At 39.3% G+C, this 20,076-nt stretch overlaps 1 protein-coding gene across 4 annotated transcripts in view, besides 1 other annotated feature; it reads right to left on the reverse strand.

Moving 5' to 3' along the window:
* ALDH1L2 (aldehyde dehydrogenase 1 family member L2) overlaps positions 1,998 to 20,076 on the reverse strand; it is a 64,669-nt gene continuing 46,590 nt past the window's right edge. For 3 of the 4 annotated variants that reach the window (NM_001034173.4, XM_047428406.1, XM_047428407.1), the window contains 5 exons: positions 16,508 to 16,606; positions 13,977 to 14,142; positions 12,532 to 12,637; positions 8,753 to 8,952; positions 1,998 to 6,687 (listed from right to left, as the gene is read on the reverse strand). In NM_001034173.4, coding sequence (NP_001029345.2) covers positions 6,632 to 6,687; positions 8,753 to 8,952; positions 12,532 to 12,637; positions 13,977 to 14,142; positions 16,508 to 16,606 — 627 coding nt within the window. In that variant the 3' untranslated portion in view covers positions 1,998 to 6,631. The remainder of the gene's footprint in view (positions 6,688 to 8,752; positions 8,953 to 12,531; positions 12,638 to 13,976; positions 14,143 to 16,507; positions 16,607 to 20,076) is intronic. The other variant, NR_027752.2, reaches the window with a different exon arrangement.
* Positions 19,319 to 19,398: a silencer, noted in NCBI's record as "silent region_4802". NCBI's record gives its function as "represses an Ori minimal core promoter by ATAC-STARR-seq in GM12878 lymphoblastoid cells {active_cell/tissue: GM12878}" and the evidence as "EXISTENCE:reporter gene assay evidence [ECO:0000049][PMID:35858748]".

The raw sequence follows: 20,076 nt of genomic DNA on the forward strand, positions 1-20,076 counted from the left end.
TGGAAAACTCTTGCCAGTTACTGGTTTAGGAATGGGCACGTGATGTGAGCCTAACCAGCGAGGCATGTGGAAAGTCTGTAGACTTTTGGGAAGGAAAGTGCAGTCATGCACTGCGTAATGATGTTTTGGTCAACGATGGACCACATATACAACAGTGGTCCCATAAGATTATAATGCTATATTTTTACCGTACCTTTTCTATATTTAGATATTTTTAGATATACAAATATTTGCTGTTGTGTTACAGTTGCCTACAGTATTCAGTAGAGTAACATGCTGTACAGGTTTGTAGCCTGGGAGCAATAGGCTGTATCATACAGCCTAGGCATGTCATAGGCTATACCATCTAAGTTTGTGTAAGTAAACTATGATAGTCACATGACACAATCACCTCATGATGCATTGCTCAGAAGAAATCATGCGACACATGACTGTGTTTCTCATTCCTAGAAAGGAGGCACATGACGAGATGATTATATCATACAGCCTAGGTGTGTTGTAGGCTATACCATCTAGGTTTGTGTAAGTACACTGTGATGTTCACACAACAAAATCGCCTAATGCTGCGTTGCTCAAAAGGAATCTGGCACATGACTGTATTTCTCATTCCTAGAAAGGAGGCACATGACAAAATGATTCCTTTCTTTTGGAAGAAAGGACAAGATAGCGAGGCAGGAAATTTTCCCTGACTCTTTCATGGGTGGGAACTGGAGTGCACAGGCGCTAGAACTAGCCAGCTGCTTCAGTGCCAGAAGGGGCAGACTCCACTCACTCTGTCCCACTGTGTCCCACCCCTTGCAGGAAGGTGAGTACAGGTGAGTGGGTGCAGGAGCCGGGTGAGTGCTTTTGGGCACTGGCAGAAGCAAAACTCCATGTGGCCTCATGGCATCATCTAGGGGGCTGCCTATGACCCCTGAAGCCCCAGAAAGAGGGTTACAGTCCATGCTCTTTTAGCTTTACTGTCTGTAGATGGCTTAAATGTTAACAGCTCAGTGGAGGGTCAGCGTGACAGCCTTTTGCACCTGCACCCAAATTCTTGTCCAGCGTCCAGGAGGAATGAGGTTGCATGAAAATTGGAGAGGGTAAATGCAGGGGATTTTATTGCCGATGAAAGCGTCTCTCAGCGGGAAGGGGAGCTGAAAAGGCGACAGAATGGGAAGATAATCTTCCCCCGGAGTCCAGCTGTCCCTGGCCTGGCTGGGCTCCTTTCTGAAGCAACACTGTCAAGCTGTCCCTCTGAAGTCAAGCTGCTTCTCTCCAACATCCAACTGTAGTATTTGACGGCCAGCTGCTGCTCCTCTTCTCCTCTCTCTACTTGCAGGGGCTGGGGTTTTTGTGGGCACAGGATTGGGGTAGGGCGGGCCATGGATAGTTTTGGAAAAGGCAACATTCGAGCAGGAAAATGGGAATGCATGTTCTCATTTTGGGCTGTGGTTCCACGCTTAAGAGTGGGGCCCTCGCTGGGGACCCATCCTCTTCTGCTCAGAATTTTCCTGCCTCCTGTCCCTATCATTATGATGGGATATGATTCCTGGAACTCCTTTCTCGTGGCCATGAATGGAGCCAGCTCTTGAGGGTAAAGTGAGCACACTACAGATAGCAGACAAGAGCAAAGAACATTATAGAGTCACTGCATCAAATAACTTGTATACTGCACTATTGCTGGGCTCTGTTTTTGGTGGCAGAATAAATTTCCTTATTTTTTTTTCAAAAAAGCCTATCACCTTGTGAGATATGCTTATATTCACTTCACAGCTGAGAAAATTGGCATAGAGATACTAATTGCATAACTTGTAATACACAATGTTGGCAAAGATGTGGGAAAATTGTTGGTGGGATTATTGATTCAGGAATTCCACTTCCAGGTATTTGTTCTAATTACATAAGTGTAGCTTTGGTCATAAATTTTATATAAGATTTTTTGTGACATTTAAAATAGCAAAAAGCAAATCTAAATGTCCGACGATAGACAACATGTTGAATTAAAGCCATTGAAATATGCAGAATTGTGTTTATTGGCATAGATGCTTATGATATATTGTTAATTGAAAAAGCAGGTAACAAATTAATATACAGTATTATGTTAATTATGTAAAAAAAGTATACATATTCATAGAAAAAGTTTGGAACAATCTCAGATATCATCTGTAGGCTATTTCTGTTTGAAAATAACCAAATAGATTTTTGGGTTGACTCAACAAATTATGGTTGAGTCAGTCTTACTTTCCTATTTTATAAATGTTTTTTACATCATTGGGTATTTAATCATTTTAAAAATCTACTCAGGCATCATTTGTATAATAGTAATAATAATTTAATCCCCCTTATTTCTCATGTCTCATGCCTTATCCATCATCCCTCATATCCTACTCTTAGCCCAGATTTTCCTTGACAGCTTTATTTTCTTGGAGGGCAGGTATGGGGAACCAAATTTGTTTCCTTACCCTAGCTCTAGCCATTTCCACAAAAGCTTTTATAGATAATGTCCATTTTGCTTATTATTTTTAGTTTAACCAATACTTAATATGTGCCCACAGCTCACTACCTAGGCCCTGATTTAGGCATTAGGAATAAAAACTATCTCGACTTAGTTAAAACCACCAGATGCATTGCTTGAAAACCTGTTCTGCCACTTAATAGCTGTGTGATTTGAGCAGGTTACTTAACCTCTCCATTTGAAAGCAAACATTTATTGGGCTCCTGTTACACATTAGGACTGGAGATACAGTATTAAAACAAGTACCTGTTCATGAAACTTACATTCTAATGGGAAAAGATCATTGATTAATATACAACAGGTAGTGATAAGTGCTATGAAAATAATGCACTTATAAAAAGAATAAAGAATGACAGCAGATGGGGTATGAATGTGGGGGCATATGGCCTATTTTAGAAAGCATAGTCAGGGAATGTGTCTCTCATCAGATGATATTTGAGGAGAGACCTGCAGGAAGTGAGCCAGCCAGCCATGAGGTTGTGTATGGACAAGAGTTGCAGGAAGAGGCAGTGGTGTGCTGGTGCTGGCTTGCATTTGTTCTGATGGCATGCATCTCTTCCCAAACTCTGTATTCAGTGAAGGCAAATTAGTGGCTCAAAAATAGCCTTGATGAGAGTATTTACACATAGATACCTGCAAATGCTACAAATGAGGGTTTTCTCCCCCGTCCCGGAGAACTATTTGTTAAATATTTTACCAGCACACCCCTGGGAAGAGGAAGAATAAGGACAGAGGCCCTGAGGCAGGAGCAGGCTTGTTCTGTTGAGGAAGTCAAGGCAGTCAGGATGGTGGAACAGAATGAGAGGGAAATTGACAGGAGATGAGGTCAGAGGTAGCTAGGAGCAAGATCAGTAGGCCAGGTAAATACGTTGGACTTTGGTCTACGTGAAATGGGGGCCATTGAAAGGTTTTAAACAGACGAGTGAAGTGACACTGTCTGACTTAAGCTTTGAACAGGACCGCAGAAGAGAGGAATCCAGAAGACCAGTTGGGAGACTTGAGCAAAATTGTAGGAAAGAGGTAACAGGCCAGGTGCAGTGGTTCATGCCTGTAATCCCAGCACTTTGGGAGGCGGAGGCAGGTGGATCACTTGAGGTCAGGAGTTCAAGACCAGCCTGGCCAACATGGCGAAACCCCATCTCTACTTAGCCAGGTGTAGTGGCACACACCTGTAATCCCAGCTACTTGGAAGGCTAAGGCATGACAATCGCTTGAACCCAAGAGGCAGAGGTTGCAGTGAGCCAAGATTGCACCACTGCACTGCAGCCTGGGCAACAAGAGCAAAACTCTGTCTCAAAAAAAAAAAAAAGTAATAATGGCTTAGGGGTAGAGGTAGTAAGAAAAGCACGTTGATTTCTTCATTTTTTTCAGAGATTGTGAAGATTAAATAACATTTAAAACATGCTTAGCCTAAGGTCTTTCATACAGGAGGCCCTTAATAAATGGTAGCTGTCATATCGTATTATTATTGACAGAAGGCCCATACTGGAGTTGGGGAGGGTTGTTCATATCTAATTAAGAAGGCAAGTAATTTTAGTACAAGTGGTAAGTGCTATGTTTGAAACAAGTGGGAACGCTGAGGAGAAACACTTAGCCCAGCTAGGGTAGGAAGGTCCAGGAAGGGTGTTAGAGCAAAAGGGACAGCTTTAGCAAAGGCATGGGGATGGGGAATTAGAAGGAAAGTGGAACTGCTTAAAGTGTCCACACCTCCCGATTCAGGTGATAATAAGATCACAGCTTCATCCTTAGCATTATTAGCAAAATAATCCGTGATCTAAAGCAACAGCGATGATTTTATTACTCTATGTGTTAAGTAAATCACCTAGCAGGCTGGGGAGGGTGATGTTCCAATTCCAGTTCACTTGGTAACTTTATGTATTACACAGAGCCTTTGATTCTGATCAGCCAGATCTAAAAATGTAAGCTGGTAAGAAATGTTTAAAACTTGCTATGGAGAAAGGAGTTCTTAATCTGGGGCCCAAGCATGGCCTTTGGGAGGTCTGTGAACCCTTTGAAGATACTTGCAGAATTGTGTGTGTGCACATGAATTTTGGGGGTAGAAGCGGGACACAGGGAGTGTTCATAGCTTTTATCAGATTCCCAAAGAGTTTTGCAGCCCAGAGAATATTTAAAACACTGCTACTGAGATGAATATTAGAGGGTAAAGTAAAATCAGTCTAGAAGGACAGGCATGTTTTTGTCTGCCATTCCATCTATCATTAAAATAATTTGATTAAATCATATTCTAAATCACATGAAATCAGTTAAAACATTTCACTTAAAAGTGATTACTTATAAAAAGGCTTTTGTCACTTTTATTCAAATATGAACTGTCATTTTGGGCCCAGTGAATATTCATTCCAACTTAAAATTTCAGCTGTGCCAAACTCTGGGATGGTAAATGAGCTATAGTATAATCAAAAGTGCTTCCAGGCCAAATTCGCTCTGTTTATCATGCTGGGATCAAACCTCCTATTCTTCCTTTTGAAAATGTTCTCTGACTCTGATTTTGTTGTTTAGTTTTTATTGATTCCCTACAATCCCCTCATGTTATTCTGCCAAGTCTCCAAAATGACAAATATTCCCTAAGGCTTCTTCAAAGCCAAAGAAAAAGGAATGTTTACTGAAATTTTATTTTTAAAGGAGGATTAATAGAATTTAACTTTCTGGCTATCTTTTGGAGACTCATGTGATTCAGAAATTTGCCGCCTTCTAGTCACACATAGATGGTGAAAATTTACTCACCTGACTACTTCTGTCTGCCAATGGGAAATGGGCTGTTAATAGTTTCCATTTCTTCAATGCTATGGTCCAAACGCCTTGTTAAGTGCATTATGTATATTATCTCACTGAATCCTTGCAACACCTACTGAGATAGAGATTTGATTTTCATTTTATAGATACTCAACCTAGGCTCTGAGATATTAGATTACTATCTTGCCCAAGATCACACAGCCAGTGAACAGCAGAACCAATAGGTAGAAAAATGGAAAGTAAGATGTCCCATGAAGGACGAGCGAGCTGCCCAAAGAAAAGCACCCCTTTTCCTTGTACTATTGCCATTTTTCATTGTGTGGCATTTTTCAGTGCTGCTGTATCAGGCATTGTGTCAGAACAATGGATGAGAAAAATATCTAGGAATTGATGATTGAAAAGGGTTGTGGGAAATGAATTCATCTAGTTAATTAAACTATCTCAATATCTTTTAAGAATGGTGACGGAGGAAATCAGAGTTAAATTTGAGTACTTACCATGAGCAAAGCATTAATGTGAGGTGCTTTACTTACATTACTGCAATGAATTCTCCTATTAAGGGTCCTGAGGAAGGCATTTACTATCCCTGTTTTACACATAGGGAAGCAGAGGCTCAGAGGAGTTGCGAGAGTTTCCCAAAGTTACATAGATAGGAAGATGGTATGATACGACCAGGATCAGCCTTCTACTATATCATATGTAAAATTTGCTTCAAAAGCTATTTACTAAAATTTAAACTATGTGGGGGCCAGCCATCATATCATTAAATTCTCTATACTCCTCAGAACATAATATAGTACCTGGTACCTAGTAGGTACTCAAGATAATGTTTCTAGGTTGATCACCCATCACAGTGGGTTAAAAAATGGAATATCAAAGGCACAAAGATGTATCTTATTTCCAAATACTAAAAAAGAACTACCTTCACATTCCTTACAGGTTATACTGTTCCTTAGAAGACTTATAGAAAATCTTTTTAATAACCCCCTATGTATAGTTCAGAGGTTAAAAACCTGTACATATTATACAAAGTTTCCAATAAATGCACCTTGTGTATTATAACTGCATGGTACTGACATCTTCAAGATGGGAACCATGAATAGATTTGTCTAGGTAGGGGAGAAACAGCTTGGTATTTTAGAAATACGTATGATATACAACATAGTCAAAATGCAACAACTCCAAATCACTGGAAGGTGTATTAGAAAATACTCAGGCACATGTGTAAATGCTTTAACATGGCCTGGCCCTCTTCATGGTCCATCTGTGTATTTTTTGGTTTGTGGCTGACACCTCCTGCCTCAACACACCCAATCTTCTTAAGTGTGTCCAGAGTTGTAAAGGGCTGTCTGTCAAGGCTTTCCTGATGATGGTGTTGCTCTAATATTCCAGTGTCACCGTCTTGGTTTTGAGATATTCATTTAGAGCTTCCTCACCTAGGGAAGAGAAAAGCAGTTGACAGACCACATTCAGAGGCAGACATGTGATGTCTTCAGACCTTCAGACATAGGTATACGTAGGTGTCCAGGTCACTAAGTAAATAGAATGTGGCCTAAGCCAGTGCTTCTCACACTTTGAAGTTCATACTAACCATCTGAAGACTCTGTTAAGTTGCAGATCCTGATCTGATTAAGTCTGGTGTGGGCCCAGAGGTTTTGTGTTGCTAACCATTCCCTGATGATGCTGATGCTAGTGGTCCATGGACCACACTTTGAATAGTAACAGCCCAGACCAGCTACCAGGCCTTCTAAGGAGCAGAGAGTGTTGCCTGGTCAGCTTCAAACCAAAACCCTTCTCTTTTATTTCCCTACTTGATGACAGACTCTGCCTTTTTGTCCATTTAAACTAAACAGAAGTAACCAGGATACTGTCCTCTGGATTATATTAATTAAAGCAGAACTGAGCACAGGAAAGTTTGAAATCATTTGGTTTAACCTTATTTTAAAGATAAGGAAAATTCAGTTTATATTGTTTGTTAGAAACACAGGGAAACCTGTCTAGGCAAAAATAAATAGGTCTGCCTTTCTTTGACTGTTTCTATTTTGAGCCAGTACTGTCATCAATCTCTACAGAGGTTAAAGGGCACTGAATACCATGGGAAAACTAATGAGTGCGTGATTCTGGAAGCTGAGCTAAAACAAGGGCTGTCAACTTTGTCCGCATGTTAGAATCACTCAGGGAGCTTTTAAGACTCCTGACCCCACATCACACCCCAGATCAATTAGATCAGTATCTGTATTTTTTGAAGCTCCCAGGTGATTTGAATCCACTGTGCAGCTAAGGTTGACAACCACTGGGCTAAGGGGTTTTAAAATTGGGGGAGGAAGAAACTATTAGAAAAACTGTAGTATTTTATAGTAAAACAGACCTGGAGCTGGTCAAATACACTCTCTCAAAAGATGGGTGAAACAGGGATGCCTCACTTTCTAATAATAAATTCCCTAAGAAAGTCTCCTACAGTGATTTGGATTCAGGCATGAAAACCAGATTAAAGACATGGAAAAGTTGGGGGGGAAGCCCTTACCTTCACCCAATGGAATTTAAAATGAGAGCTACTTTTACTGCTGCAAATACATGGCCAAAGTCATTAGTAAAGAGAAAATGTAAAAACAAAACAAAACAAAAAAACTCCAAATGAACTAAACTTATATTTGCAGACTGTAATTTCAGTAAATCACAAACATTTCAGTTTTTGAAACAACGTACCAGACTGAGGGGAATAAGAGATGTGCTCCACAGCCAGACCGCCTGCCTTTGAATTCTCTCTTGCCAGTGCCTGGCTCTGTGACTTGAGGCAACTCACCCAGCCTCTCTGAGCCCCATTGTCCTCTTCTGTATAATAAGATAATAATAGTACCTATTCCTCTGAGCTCGTGTGAGAATTGCCTTTGCTTATACAGGCTAAGTAGAATGGGGCCTGGCATGTGTTTCGCACTGAAAGTAAGCTATTGCTTGAAAGGTGTTAGTGTCACTGCTCACAGTGAATTACATTTTGGGCTTTTTACAAACTCTTAAGTCTCATTGCTCAGACTCCCAAAAACCCTGCCAATTGCAGGGTTTTTTCAGTGTTGACTCTGAAAGCCTGCCAAGAAGCTCCAGGACAGGATTTATTCTTGGAGCTCGCTGGTTATTGCTCTCCACCCATTTGCCTCTCTTGGTTCCATTTAGTCTCGTGACAGCTAACCCAAGTTCATGCCGAATGTCAGATTAAACACCAAACATATTTCAGCTAAAGTATATTGTTGCAATTTCTTTTTCCTTTCAAACATTAATCTTTTTTGAAAAGAAATATCTTTCCACACAATGTGTGTACTTTTCTGTATGTATGGTATATTCAATAGAAATGTTTAATATTTTAAAAAACGAATGCCCTTCTAAACCCAGATATAACTGCCATGTAGGAAATGCCCCTCAAAGTCACACACAAGTCATGAAACATAGAGCAGATTTTTCTGTGATGTGACAACAAAGGGAAGGTGAAGCAGAAAAGTAAAGCCATACCTAAGTCTTTTCCAAAGCCAGATTGTTTAACTCCGCCAAATGGGGCCGCCACATCTGTCTTGTTGTATGTGTTAATAAAAACAGTTCCTGCTTCCAGTTTTTCACTCACATACATAGCTTTGTTTATGTCTCTTGTAAAAACCCCTGAGGCCAAACCATACTCTGTACTATTTGCTCGCTGCAACACTCCATCGATGTCCCTGTGTTTTTAGGAAGACATAAAACTTCATTAAATGTAAAGCAAAAGACTCATTTTATGTTCTGAAAATTTTCCCATCTATGCTAGAAACAGGAAAACATTACTGCCATCTGCTTAAATGTTTTTGTTGTTGTTGTTTTTTAGAGGCCAGGCATTGCTCTGTCACCTAGGCTGCAGTGCAGTGGCACAATCATAGCTCACTGCAGCCTCCATCTCCTTGGACTCAAGTGATCCTCCCACCTCAGCCTCCCAAGTAGCGGGGACTACAGGCATGTGCCACCATGCTCAGCTAATTTTTAAAAAAATTTTTTTGTAGAGATAGCATCTCCCTGTGTTGCCCAGGCTGATCTCAAACTCCTGGCCTCAAACTATCCCCCAACCTTGCCCTTGCAAAGTGTTGGGATTACAGGTGTGAGCCACTGCGCCCAGCCTGATTAAATTTTTATAAATGAAAATATCAGGCTCACACCAAAAGAAAGTCCCAAAAAAATATTACTAGTATTACATTTTTCATATATATCATGCAACACCTTTCAAAATCTGACCCAAAGTCATATATTCAATCTTCTTCAATGGTTCTCATTCATGATCTCCCACTCCCTCCCCTCTCCCATGACTCCCACTTCTAGATGGATTTTCAGAGTGTCCTCCCTATTTCCTTCCATCTCTTCCGATTTTGCACATAAGGTTCAAGCCTCCTTCAGTGCCTGAAGCCGTTTCAGATCCCACCAGTGCCATTGTCGAGGTGGGAGAGTAGGGTGGTTCTGTGAGAGGGCTCTGCAGCCAGACTGCCTGGTGACCTTGGGTAAATGACTCCATCTCCCCTCGCCTTCATTTATTATTGCGAACCATGGAAATAATAATAAAAGGACCTGTCTAGTTGTCATGAGGATGAAATGAACAAATCATGCCTGGAACACAATAAATGTTCAATAAAAGCCAGCTATCATCAGGTAGCACATATTTTTCCAAACTTAATATTTTGGTAGAACCAACTATATAGTGCTGACTTAACTCTTCCTGTAGGTAATGGTTCACCCTCCATAAATTGGAAGATAAAAGTTCCCCGAGGGCAGGGATAACTTTATGTCTCATATACCTCTTTATGCTATGGTGTTGCATCGTCAAATGCGAGTGAGTGGGATTACATGTGCTTATTCAACAAAATAGGTCCCGTGATTTCCCTGCCTTTTGACTTAGTTTGTATACACATCCAAGCAGGTGAAGACATGAACCTACTCTTTTCTCAGTTGAGTCGAGTTCTAATGTGCCTGTCATAGTGTATGTACCTTCTTCTAGTGTGATCCTAATGCTTAAAAACGCACACATTTTCTACCACATGGCCAGCAAATACAAGCCAGGTTGTTGTTGTTGTTTTTCTTTTTGAGATGGAGTCTCACTCTGTCGCCCAGGCTGGAGGGCAGTGGTGCGATCTCGGCTCACTGCAACCTTCGCCTCCCAGGTTCAAGCAATTCTCCTGCCTCAGCCTCCTGAGTAGCTGAGATTACAGGTACATGCCACCACACCCAGATAATTTTTGTATTTTTAGTAGAGATTTTGTATTTCACCATGTTGGCCAGGCTGGTCTTGAACTCCTGACCTCAAGTGATCCGCCTGCCTTGGCCTTCCAAAGTGCTGGGATTACAGGCATGAGCCATTGCGCCTGGCCAAGCCAGGTATTTCATCTGGTGCTCCAGCAAAGACACAGGATCTGTTCCAAAACTGGAGGAAAAATTCGAGTGCTGAATTTATTGAGACAGTACAGGTTTCAGTGTAGTGCCTTATGAAGGAATTTTCAAAGGCATCTTGACTATCCAAAATTTTAAACTTGCACAAGAAATCTGGAATCTAACCTGGAGTGAACTTGGACTCTGCTAAAACTCTCACACTTCTTGATGCATTGCATATGGTAGGGACCCAAATATTTATAGAATGGACTAGAGGGAGAAAGATGGTTTTATGCCATTTCTCGTTGAGGACTATCAAGATATCACCATAGCTCCATAGCACATTGTTTATGTCTACAGCAATGACAAGCATATATTGATGGCAGCAGCAACAGCAAATACTTGACTTAGTAATACTCAGAATGACCTAAGGAGGTACACATTGTTACCAAACCATACTCTATTATTTGCTCACTGCAATGCTCTATTGATGTCCCTATGTTTTTAGGAAGACATAAAACTTCATTAAATGTAAAGCAAAAGATTCATTTTATGTTCTGAAAATTTTCCCGTCTATGCTAGAAACGGGAAAACATTACTGCCATCTGCTTAAATTTTTTTTTTTTTTTTTTTAGAGGCCAGGCATTGCTCTGTCGCCTAGGCTGCAGTGCAGTGGCACAATCATAGCTCACTGCAGCCTCCATCTCCTTGGGCTCAAGTGATCCTCCCACCTTAGCCTCCGAAGTAGCTGGGACTACAGGCACATGCCACCATGCCCAGCTAATTTTTAAAAAAAATTTTTGTAGAGACAGGGTCTTTGTTGCCCAGGCTGATCTCAAACTCCTGGCCTCAAGCTGTCCCCCGACCTTGGCCTTGCAAAGTGTTGGGATTACAGGCATGAGGTGCAGAGTGGTTAAGTAACTGGCCCAAGCTCAGAGGGTTAGTGAGGGGAGAGGAGGCAGAGTTGGTCCTCTGACCCACTGCACCATCCTGCCTCTGACCCTCTGTGGACTAACTGTCATCTCTGTCTGTCTCCCCTGTTAGATAATAAACTCCTTAAGGTCAGGGGCTGTGACTTACCCATGTTACAGTAGATTCCCTCAAACCTGACTTCTAATGTCTGCACATTTAACACCACCACCATGGGAGAATGTATAATGAGAAATGGCATAGCATGCATCCTTGAATGGATATATCAAAGGTTACTCACTACACCTTATAGTCCCCTGAAGTCTTTTATACTATATCTATTAAAGACCGAGAAAGTCTATTCTTTATTTTTTTTTCAAGTTCTCATTGGCTGAAATAAATCTAAAGCCATTCTGAAGAATTTTGTGCAGTATACCATGAGACCCCATTCTATTAAGTATTGTTTTATGAGCTCAGTTAGCACTTGGACCTCTTCGATAAGCTGAACTCTTTGCAAAGTTTCATGTAGTATCACAAGCCAGCATGTCATTTACAGTTGATTATATGATGATTATGAACATTTCCATGAAAAGTTGAGTATCAAGCTTTGGGGGGCAATATCCCCTATAATAACAGCACTCTTTCTCTAGGGAAATAAGATTTCACAGATGCATACCCTAGGAATTTAAATGTGAAAACCAGTTTTGTTATTTCTCAGTTATTTACTTTGTTCCACAGACATCTCAAATGTCAAGTGCAGAAAAACTAAAATTTATTCAGCTAAAAGCCCATTATGTTGGCCATTAATTGAAGCTGAAAAGCAAAAATATACTATGATCTACGATGGTTAGCAAAAGCGTAACTTCTAATTATTTAAGTTAATTATTCTTATGGTAGAAAATTACATGTTCATTAATCTTATGCTGTGTATATAGCACAGTGGCAAAGGGGAAAAATGACTTATCTAGTCAAAACCTAAGTTACATTGTGTCTGAAGAACCTACCCATTTTGGAATTTAGAAATGACCATAATAGGCCCAAAGGATTCCTCTTTGGCGAGGTACATGTAGTCTTCCACATCTGTGAACACGGTCGGCTCCATGAAAAAGCCTTTTTGGAAAAAACAAAGAAAAAATGTCAACTGTAGGTTAAGTCATTTTCAATTAATAGTCCTCTCACTTAATTACATTATAATTTTTTCTTTCCCTCTGGCCCAGTAAAACCAAGAAGAGTTGCATTTCTCTATTTGGTGTTGGCATGCCCAGGTTCTTATTTTTTAATGTCTTTATTATGAAAATGTCAAACCTATGTAAAGGTAGAGAAAACAGTATAATGAATGGTAAAATAAATATCCATATTTTGCTGTATTTATCTTTTCCTCATTGAAATATTTTAAAGCAAATTCCAGATATCATAATTTTAACACCTCAGTATTTCAGTACACATCTGTAAAAAATAAGGATATTTTCTTATATAACCACTATACAGTGTCATGCTTAACAAAATTAGTAAGTATTCTTTATTCAGAGTTTATATTTTAATTTCCTTAATGTCTAGAAATTAGCTTTTTCACAGTTGGTTTGTTTGATTTAGGATTCAAATTCTTCTACACATTGTATTTGGTGTTTAGATTTCTTAAGGATCTTTTACTCTAAAACATTTCCCCATTTTGTCTTCCCCTTATTTTTTATGCTATCGTCATGTTAAAGAGACTGGGTCAGTTGTTTATACATTATCTTTCTTTCTGGTTAATCATTGCTTCCTTTGGATGATATTTGTTTCTCTATCTCTTGTATTTCTTCTTTTTCCCAGTGACTTTTATTGTGGTAAAATACACATAACTGAAATTTACCATCACAACCATCTTTAAGTGTACAGCTCAGTGTTATGAGATTCATAATATGCAACCTTCACCACCATCCATTTTCATTAACTATTTTCAGCTTATAAAACTGAAACTCTATACCCACTAAAAAATAACTTCCTGTTCCTTCCTCCCTCCCTACTGCAGTTCTTATGAATAGAAAGCTTGGCTTAAAGGTATAATTAGATTCAGCTTAAGCTTTTTTGGCAGGAACACTTCATAGGTGATACTGTGTATTACACGTTTTATTCCATCAGGAGACACATATTATCCAGTTGTCTCCCCTTCTTTGTTTTATTTTGTTTTGTTTTGTTTGAGACAGAGTCTCAGTCTGTTGCCCAAGTTGGAGTGCAGTGGCTTGATCTCAGCTCACTGCAGCCTCCTCCGCTCACGTTAACCTGCCTCCTAGGTTAAAGTGATTCTTGTGCCTCAGCCTCCCCAGTAGCAGGTGCGTGCCACCACACTGGGCTAATTTTTGGTAGAGATGAAGTTTCACCATGTTGGCCAGGCTGGTCTTAAACTGTCGCTGTCCATTCCAACTGAAGAAGGCGGGCACCCGGTAAACCCCCACAGAGGTGATCTTACCTGGCCTTTGGACTTGTCTTCCCCCGTACACCAAAGTGGCCCCTTCTTTCACTCCAGTTTCACAGTATTGCAGCAGCTTTTCCAGATGAGCCTTATGATTTTGGGGCCCATGATCAGTGGATCTGTCAAGTGGATCACCAATTTTCATCTTTTTAATTTCTTCTACCTGTATGTTACCCAGTCCATAAAAACACAATTCACTGTTAATAATAATGGAGTTTCTACCAAGTGGTAGGTGTTATACTAAGGTGTTTATAGATGTATTGTCATTTAGTCTTTACAATAGCACCGGAGGTAGGTGGTTGGTTTTTTTTTTTTTTTCCTTTTTGGAGACAGGGTCTTAGTCACTCTGTCGTCCATGCTGGATCACAGTGGCATGGCATGGCTCACTGCAACCTCGAACTTCTTTTTTTTTTTTTTTTTTTTTGAGGTGGAGTCTTATTTTGTTGCCCAGGCTGGAGTACAATGGTGTGATCTTGGCTCACTGCAACCTCTGCCTCCCGGGTTCAAGCTGTTCTCATGTCTCAGCCTCCTGAGTAGCTGGGATTACAGGCGCCTGCCACTGCGTCCGGCTATTCTCATGTCTTAGCCTCCCAAGTAGCTGGGATTACAGGTGTCTGCCACCACGCTCGGCTAATTTTTGTATTTTTAGTAGAGATGGGGTTTCTCCATGTTGGTCAGGTTGGTCTCGAACTCCTGACCTCAGGCAATCCACCCGCATCAGCCTCCCAAAGTGCTGGGATTACAGGCGTGAGCCACCGCGCCCAGCTGCAACCTCGAACTTCTAAGCTCAAGTGATCCTCCCGCCTCAGCTTCTCAGAAGAAGAAACTGAGGCCTAGAGGGGTTAAGTAAGTGCACCCAACCACTAAATACTGTAGACTTTTTTCCACTTGAAATCCCAAGTCCTTAACCACTATCTACTAGCACAATATAAGCTACATACACTATATGAAAATTATCCTAAATGTTAATCCATTAAGAATAGCAAACTAATGTTCTGAAATGTTTATTAATATCACATACTTACACTGTTCATGGCAAGAGAATTTCTAAAATGGTCACATTGTTATCTTTTTTTTTCCTCCTCAAATGTGGCAGACTGCCTTTGTAAAATTCTCCTGGTGTAGCCATGCCAGATGACCCACTAGAATGCTCTGACGAAAAATAATCTTTACTGCACGATGTTCATCACTGACATGTATTTGTAATTATCTCTTCCACTCCTCAGTTATCTTAACCTACTTCTGCATCTTCTAATGTTAAGTCCAATTCTGGTAAGAAGAATGGGAGTTATAACCCAGCAGGTCCATGACTTTGAATTTAGGCCTGGCCGTAATCTCTTAGTGCGTTCCCCAGGGTTCTGCACTGGATGAGAAGTTCTGAGTGGCCAGGGACCATGTCTGCCTTGTTCACATTTATATTCCCAGCATGCAGTGTTTGGTACTAAGTAGGTGCTTGAGAAATGCTGCTGATGAATGAATATGAACAGCATGTTTGTAAAACATGCTTGTTGATGTACTGATATAGCAAATCCTTGACATTTCTGGTCTCAGTGTTTGAAATTTCAACAACTTTTAGCTGATTGTGAAAGCCCATGATATATAGCACTGCAGACTGTCTTTCAGTGAGACACAAAATTAAATTACACTGTGATGTTCAGGAGGCAGCCACTGCCTACCTGACTGCCCTCCATCTGCCTGTCTATATGACTTCCTTGTTACTCATTCTCATGAAGAAAGAATACCTTTGGTTTTTTTGGTGGGTTGGGGTGTGGAGAATTGGCTCTGGGGAAAATATAGCTGGATGCTGGTTTTGCAAATATAAGCAAATTCTTGATTAATACTACCTTCATAATGACATAGTATAAGTTAGAGTTTATTTTAGCCACATAATTCATCTTAACACTCCTATAGATGACTTTTAGTCCCATATTTATGGAGTCATGATCAATGTCCTGGGGATGTTTATTTATTTAGCTAGTTATTTTAGTGGAAGGAATTATATGCTATCATGTCAACCGCAATTGGGGATTCATGGTGTATCTCTCATAGTTTATTTAGAGATTTATAAAAATCTAGGAGCGTAACTCTCACAATGTCAAGGATCTAATATATTACAAATGTAGAGTAAGGTATCATAGCTCTTCAATATACTTTATCAGGTTTTTATATAAACCTCTAACTTTTTTACTATAAAAAAATCATAAGCACATGTGAAAGTAGACACATAATACAGTGAAACCCCATGTACTCATCACCCAGCTTCAACAACTACCAACTCCTGGCCAATTTATTCCCCTACTCATTTCCTGTCCTGCGGGGTTATTTTGAAGCAAATTTCAGACATCATATAATTTAATCTGTAAGTATGCCAGTATGTAGCTATAAAAAAACTAGGGACTGATTTTTTTTAAAACATAACCACAATACTGTTATCACACCTGAAAATTCATGAACAATCCTAGAAGTAGGATTTTTCAAGTAAAAGCAAAATCTCTAAACAACTCAGAGTAAATGTGAAGGTGCCTCACCACTCTTGTCACAAATTCGTCGTGGATGGATTCTTCCACGAACAACCGCCCAGCAGCAATACAGTTCTCTCCTTTGTTGAAAAATACTGCTCCCATGCCCTTCAGTGGGAGAAGAGAAAATATTGCTAACATCATTTGAGAAGTCAAGATTCTCATAAAGTTGTACACAGAGGGAGTTAGTTGTTTTTGGAAGACAGCAGGCAATATAGATAAGTCACAGACAATCCTCTTGGCCTTGTTAGTGATGAGAGCTTCTTGGAGATACTCTGTTTTGATTTAGCATGATTTGAGAGATTTTGTTTATCCTTTCCCCCTTTTGGTCCCTGAGCATTTTTTTAAAAAAATGTATGTGTAACAATAAAGATGTACCATTAGAAACAAATTTTGTGTTAAAAGAAAATCTAGGCTGGGCGTGGTGGCTCACGCTTGTAATCCCAGAACTTTGGGAGGCTGAGGCGGGCAGATCACAAGGTCAGGAGTTCAAGACCAGTGTGGCCAACACAGTGAAACCCCATCTCCACTAAAAATACAAAAATTAGCTGGGCATGGTGGCAGGTGCCTGTAATCCCAGCTACTCAGGGGGCTGAGGCAGGAGAATCAATTGAACCCAGGAGGCGGAGGTTGCAGTGAGCTGAGATCACACCACTGCACTCCAGCCTGGGCGACAGAGCTAGATTCCATCTCATAAATAAATAAATAAATAAAAGAAAATCTAGATTATTCTCTTCTTAAATTTATTTTTTAGAGATAGAGTCCCACTCTCTCTAGCCTCCCAAGTAGCTGGCACTACAGGTGTGCACCACCTTACCCAGCTAATTTTTTCTATTTTTATTTATTGTAGAGACAGGGTCTCACTATGTTGCCCAGGCTGGACTCAACACCTGGGCTTAAGCAATCCTCCTGCCTTGGCCTAGAAAATCTAGATTATTCTATACATTTAAATGTAATAACTTGTATACCAAGTTTTGCTTTTAAAAATCTCTACATTAGATTGTATAATCACAATTTTTAAAATTTTTTATTTGTATTTATTTATTTATTTAAGACAGTGTTTCTCTCTGTCGCCCAGGCTGGAGTGCAGTGGCGTGATCATGGCTCACTGCAGCCTCAACTTCCTGGGCTGAAGTGATCCTCCATCTCAGTCTCCCTAGTAGCTGGGGCCACAGGTGAACACCACCCTGGGCTAATTTTATTTTTTTGTAGAGACAGGGTCTTGCCATGTTGCCCAGGCTGGTCATGAACCCCAAGGCTCAAGCGATCCTTCTACCTCGACCTCCCAAAGTGCTGAGATTATAGGCGTAAGCCACCACGTGCAGCCATAAATCATAAATATTTAGAAAGCCTCTCTAACCCCCTCATGAAAAGAAATACCTGTTTTTCAACAAGAAGTTTGAGAAATCTTTGAAATGAAGGCACTCAAAAATGACGGATTTGGAAGACTGATGAATTTTGTGCATTTTCCCTTTTTAGAAATTCAGTTTCTAATTCACCTGCAGGAAACCTCCCTGGACTATATATAGTGTGTCTATATATATATATATGTGTGTGTGTGTGTGTGTGTGTGTGTATACACACACACATATATATACGTATATTTATATGTGTATATATATTATATATATACATATATTTATATGTGTATATATATTATATATATACGTATATTTATATGTGTATATATATTATATATATACGTATATTTATATATGTGTATATATATTATATATATACGTATATTTATATATGTGTATATATATTATATATATACGTATATTTATATATGTGTATATATTATATATACGTATATTTATATATGTGTATATATATTATATATATACGTATATTTATATATGTGTATATAATATATACACGTATATTTATATATGTGTATATAATATATACACGTATATTTATATATGTGTATATAATATATACACGTATATTTATATATGTGTATATAATATATACACGTATATTTATATATGTGTATATATTATATATATACGTATATTTATATATGTGTATATATATTATATATACGTATATTTATATATGTGTATATATATTATATATATACGTATATTTATATATGTGTATATATATTATATATATACGTATATTTATATATGTGTATATATTATATATATCCATATATATGTGTGTGTGTATATACACACACATATATACGTATATTTATATATGTATATATATATTTTATATATATATATATATATATATATATATATATATATATATATATATATATAAAATGGATGTGGCTGGGTGCAGTGGCTCACACCTGTTATTCCACCCATTTAGGAGGCCAAGGCAGGAGGATCACTTTAGCCCAGGAGTTTAAGACCTGCCTGGGCAACATAGTGAGATCCCATCTCGAAAACAAAGTATAATGAATGCTTTGAAATACCATGCTTTTCCTGTGCATACATTTTATCTTTAAACATTACAAAAATATGTTGACTGTCTTGGGTTTGGGGTTCTTAAATGGTTAAAACAGACTCTTTAAGGTTATATATTCCTAACCCAGACATCCAGGGGAGTCCTGACCCCTGATATCAGTTTGAGTACCCCCAGCCATTGTCTGTCACTGAAACCTCCAGATGGTCCATTCAAAGGCCCTGGCCGCAGGGGTACTTGGTTCTTCTTCACTCCCAGACCACTCCATTCTCTTTGGGATGCTTACATGATGAAGTTTGGCTGTGAGTGTTCATTATAATTACATTTAGGGCCAATGGTGAACAGAGTCTGCTTAGTGCATAGGCTGGACAGTTGTACAGAACTGAGAAGACCATAAGTTTCCCCCACAATTACAAGAAAGCTTAGCACAACCCCTGCCGAGCATTGACTCATTTTATGCCTATATCTCAGATGTGAAGAATGAGAACTAGGCCAATTTTTTTTAACCTTTACATTTTATTTAAAATAAGCCTTTATACTTTGAAATAGTTTAAGGCTCACAAGGTGTTGCAAAAATAATGTGAGAGTTCCTTTGTGCCCTTTACCTAACTTCCCCCATGATAACATCTTATAAAACCATAGTACATTGTTAAAACCAGGAAATTGATGTTGCTAATTACTTGTTAAATATGAAACCCTTTGTTGTGTCTAAAACGCTTACCAGAAGCTCAATGTGCAAAACAGGTAAAAGTAGGACTGTTCAGGTTGATGGGATGAGATGTTGTAGGGAAAGGAGGGAGAAGCTAGAAGCCCTAATAGAATATCTTTTGAACTTTTTTACATGCCTGCTATGACTCATATCCTGTTTTAAAAACACCTTAGTAGAGGAATTATAAAGACATTATTTTTAAAAACTAAGTGCTCTGAGTATTCCCAAATCTAAGCATAAAAACAATGGTTTTAATTTATGACTAGACAAAACCCAAATCTCATTTAAGATCTCTGATAAAAAAGGAGGTGAAATGTGTTTTAGAAGCAAGCACCTATTTTTTTTTCTTTTTTTTTTTTGAGACGGAGTCTCACTCTGTCGCCCAGGCTGGAGTGCAGTGGCGTGATCTCAGCTCACTGCAACCTCCGCCTCCTGGGTTCAAGAG

Source organism: Homo sapiens, chromosome 12 (assembly GCF_000001405.40).
Source record: "Homo sapiens chromosome 12, GRCh38.p14 Primary Assembly".
NCBI lineage: Eukaryota > Metazoa > Chordata > Mammalia > Primates > Hominidae > Homo > Homo sapiens.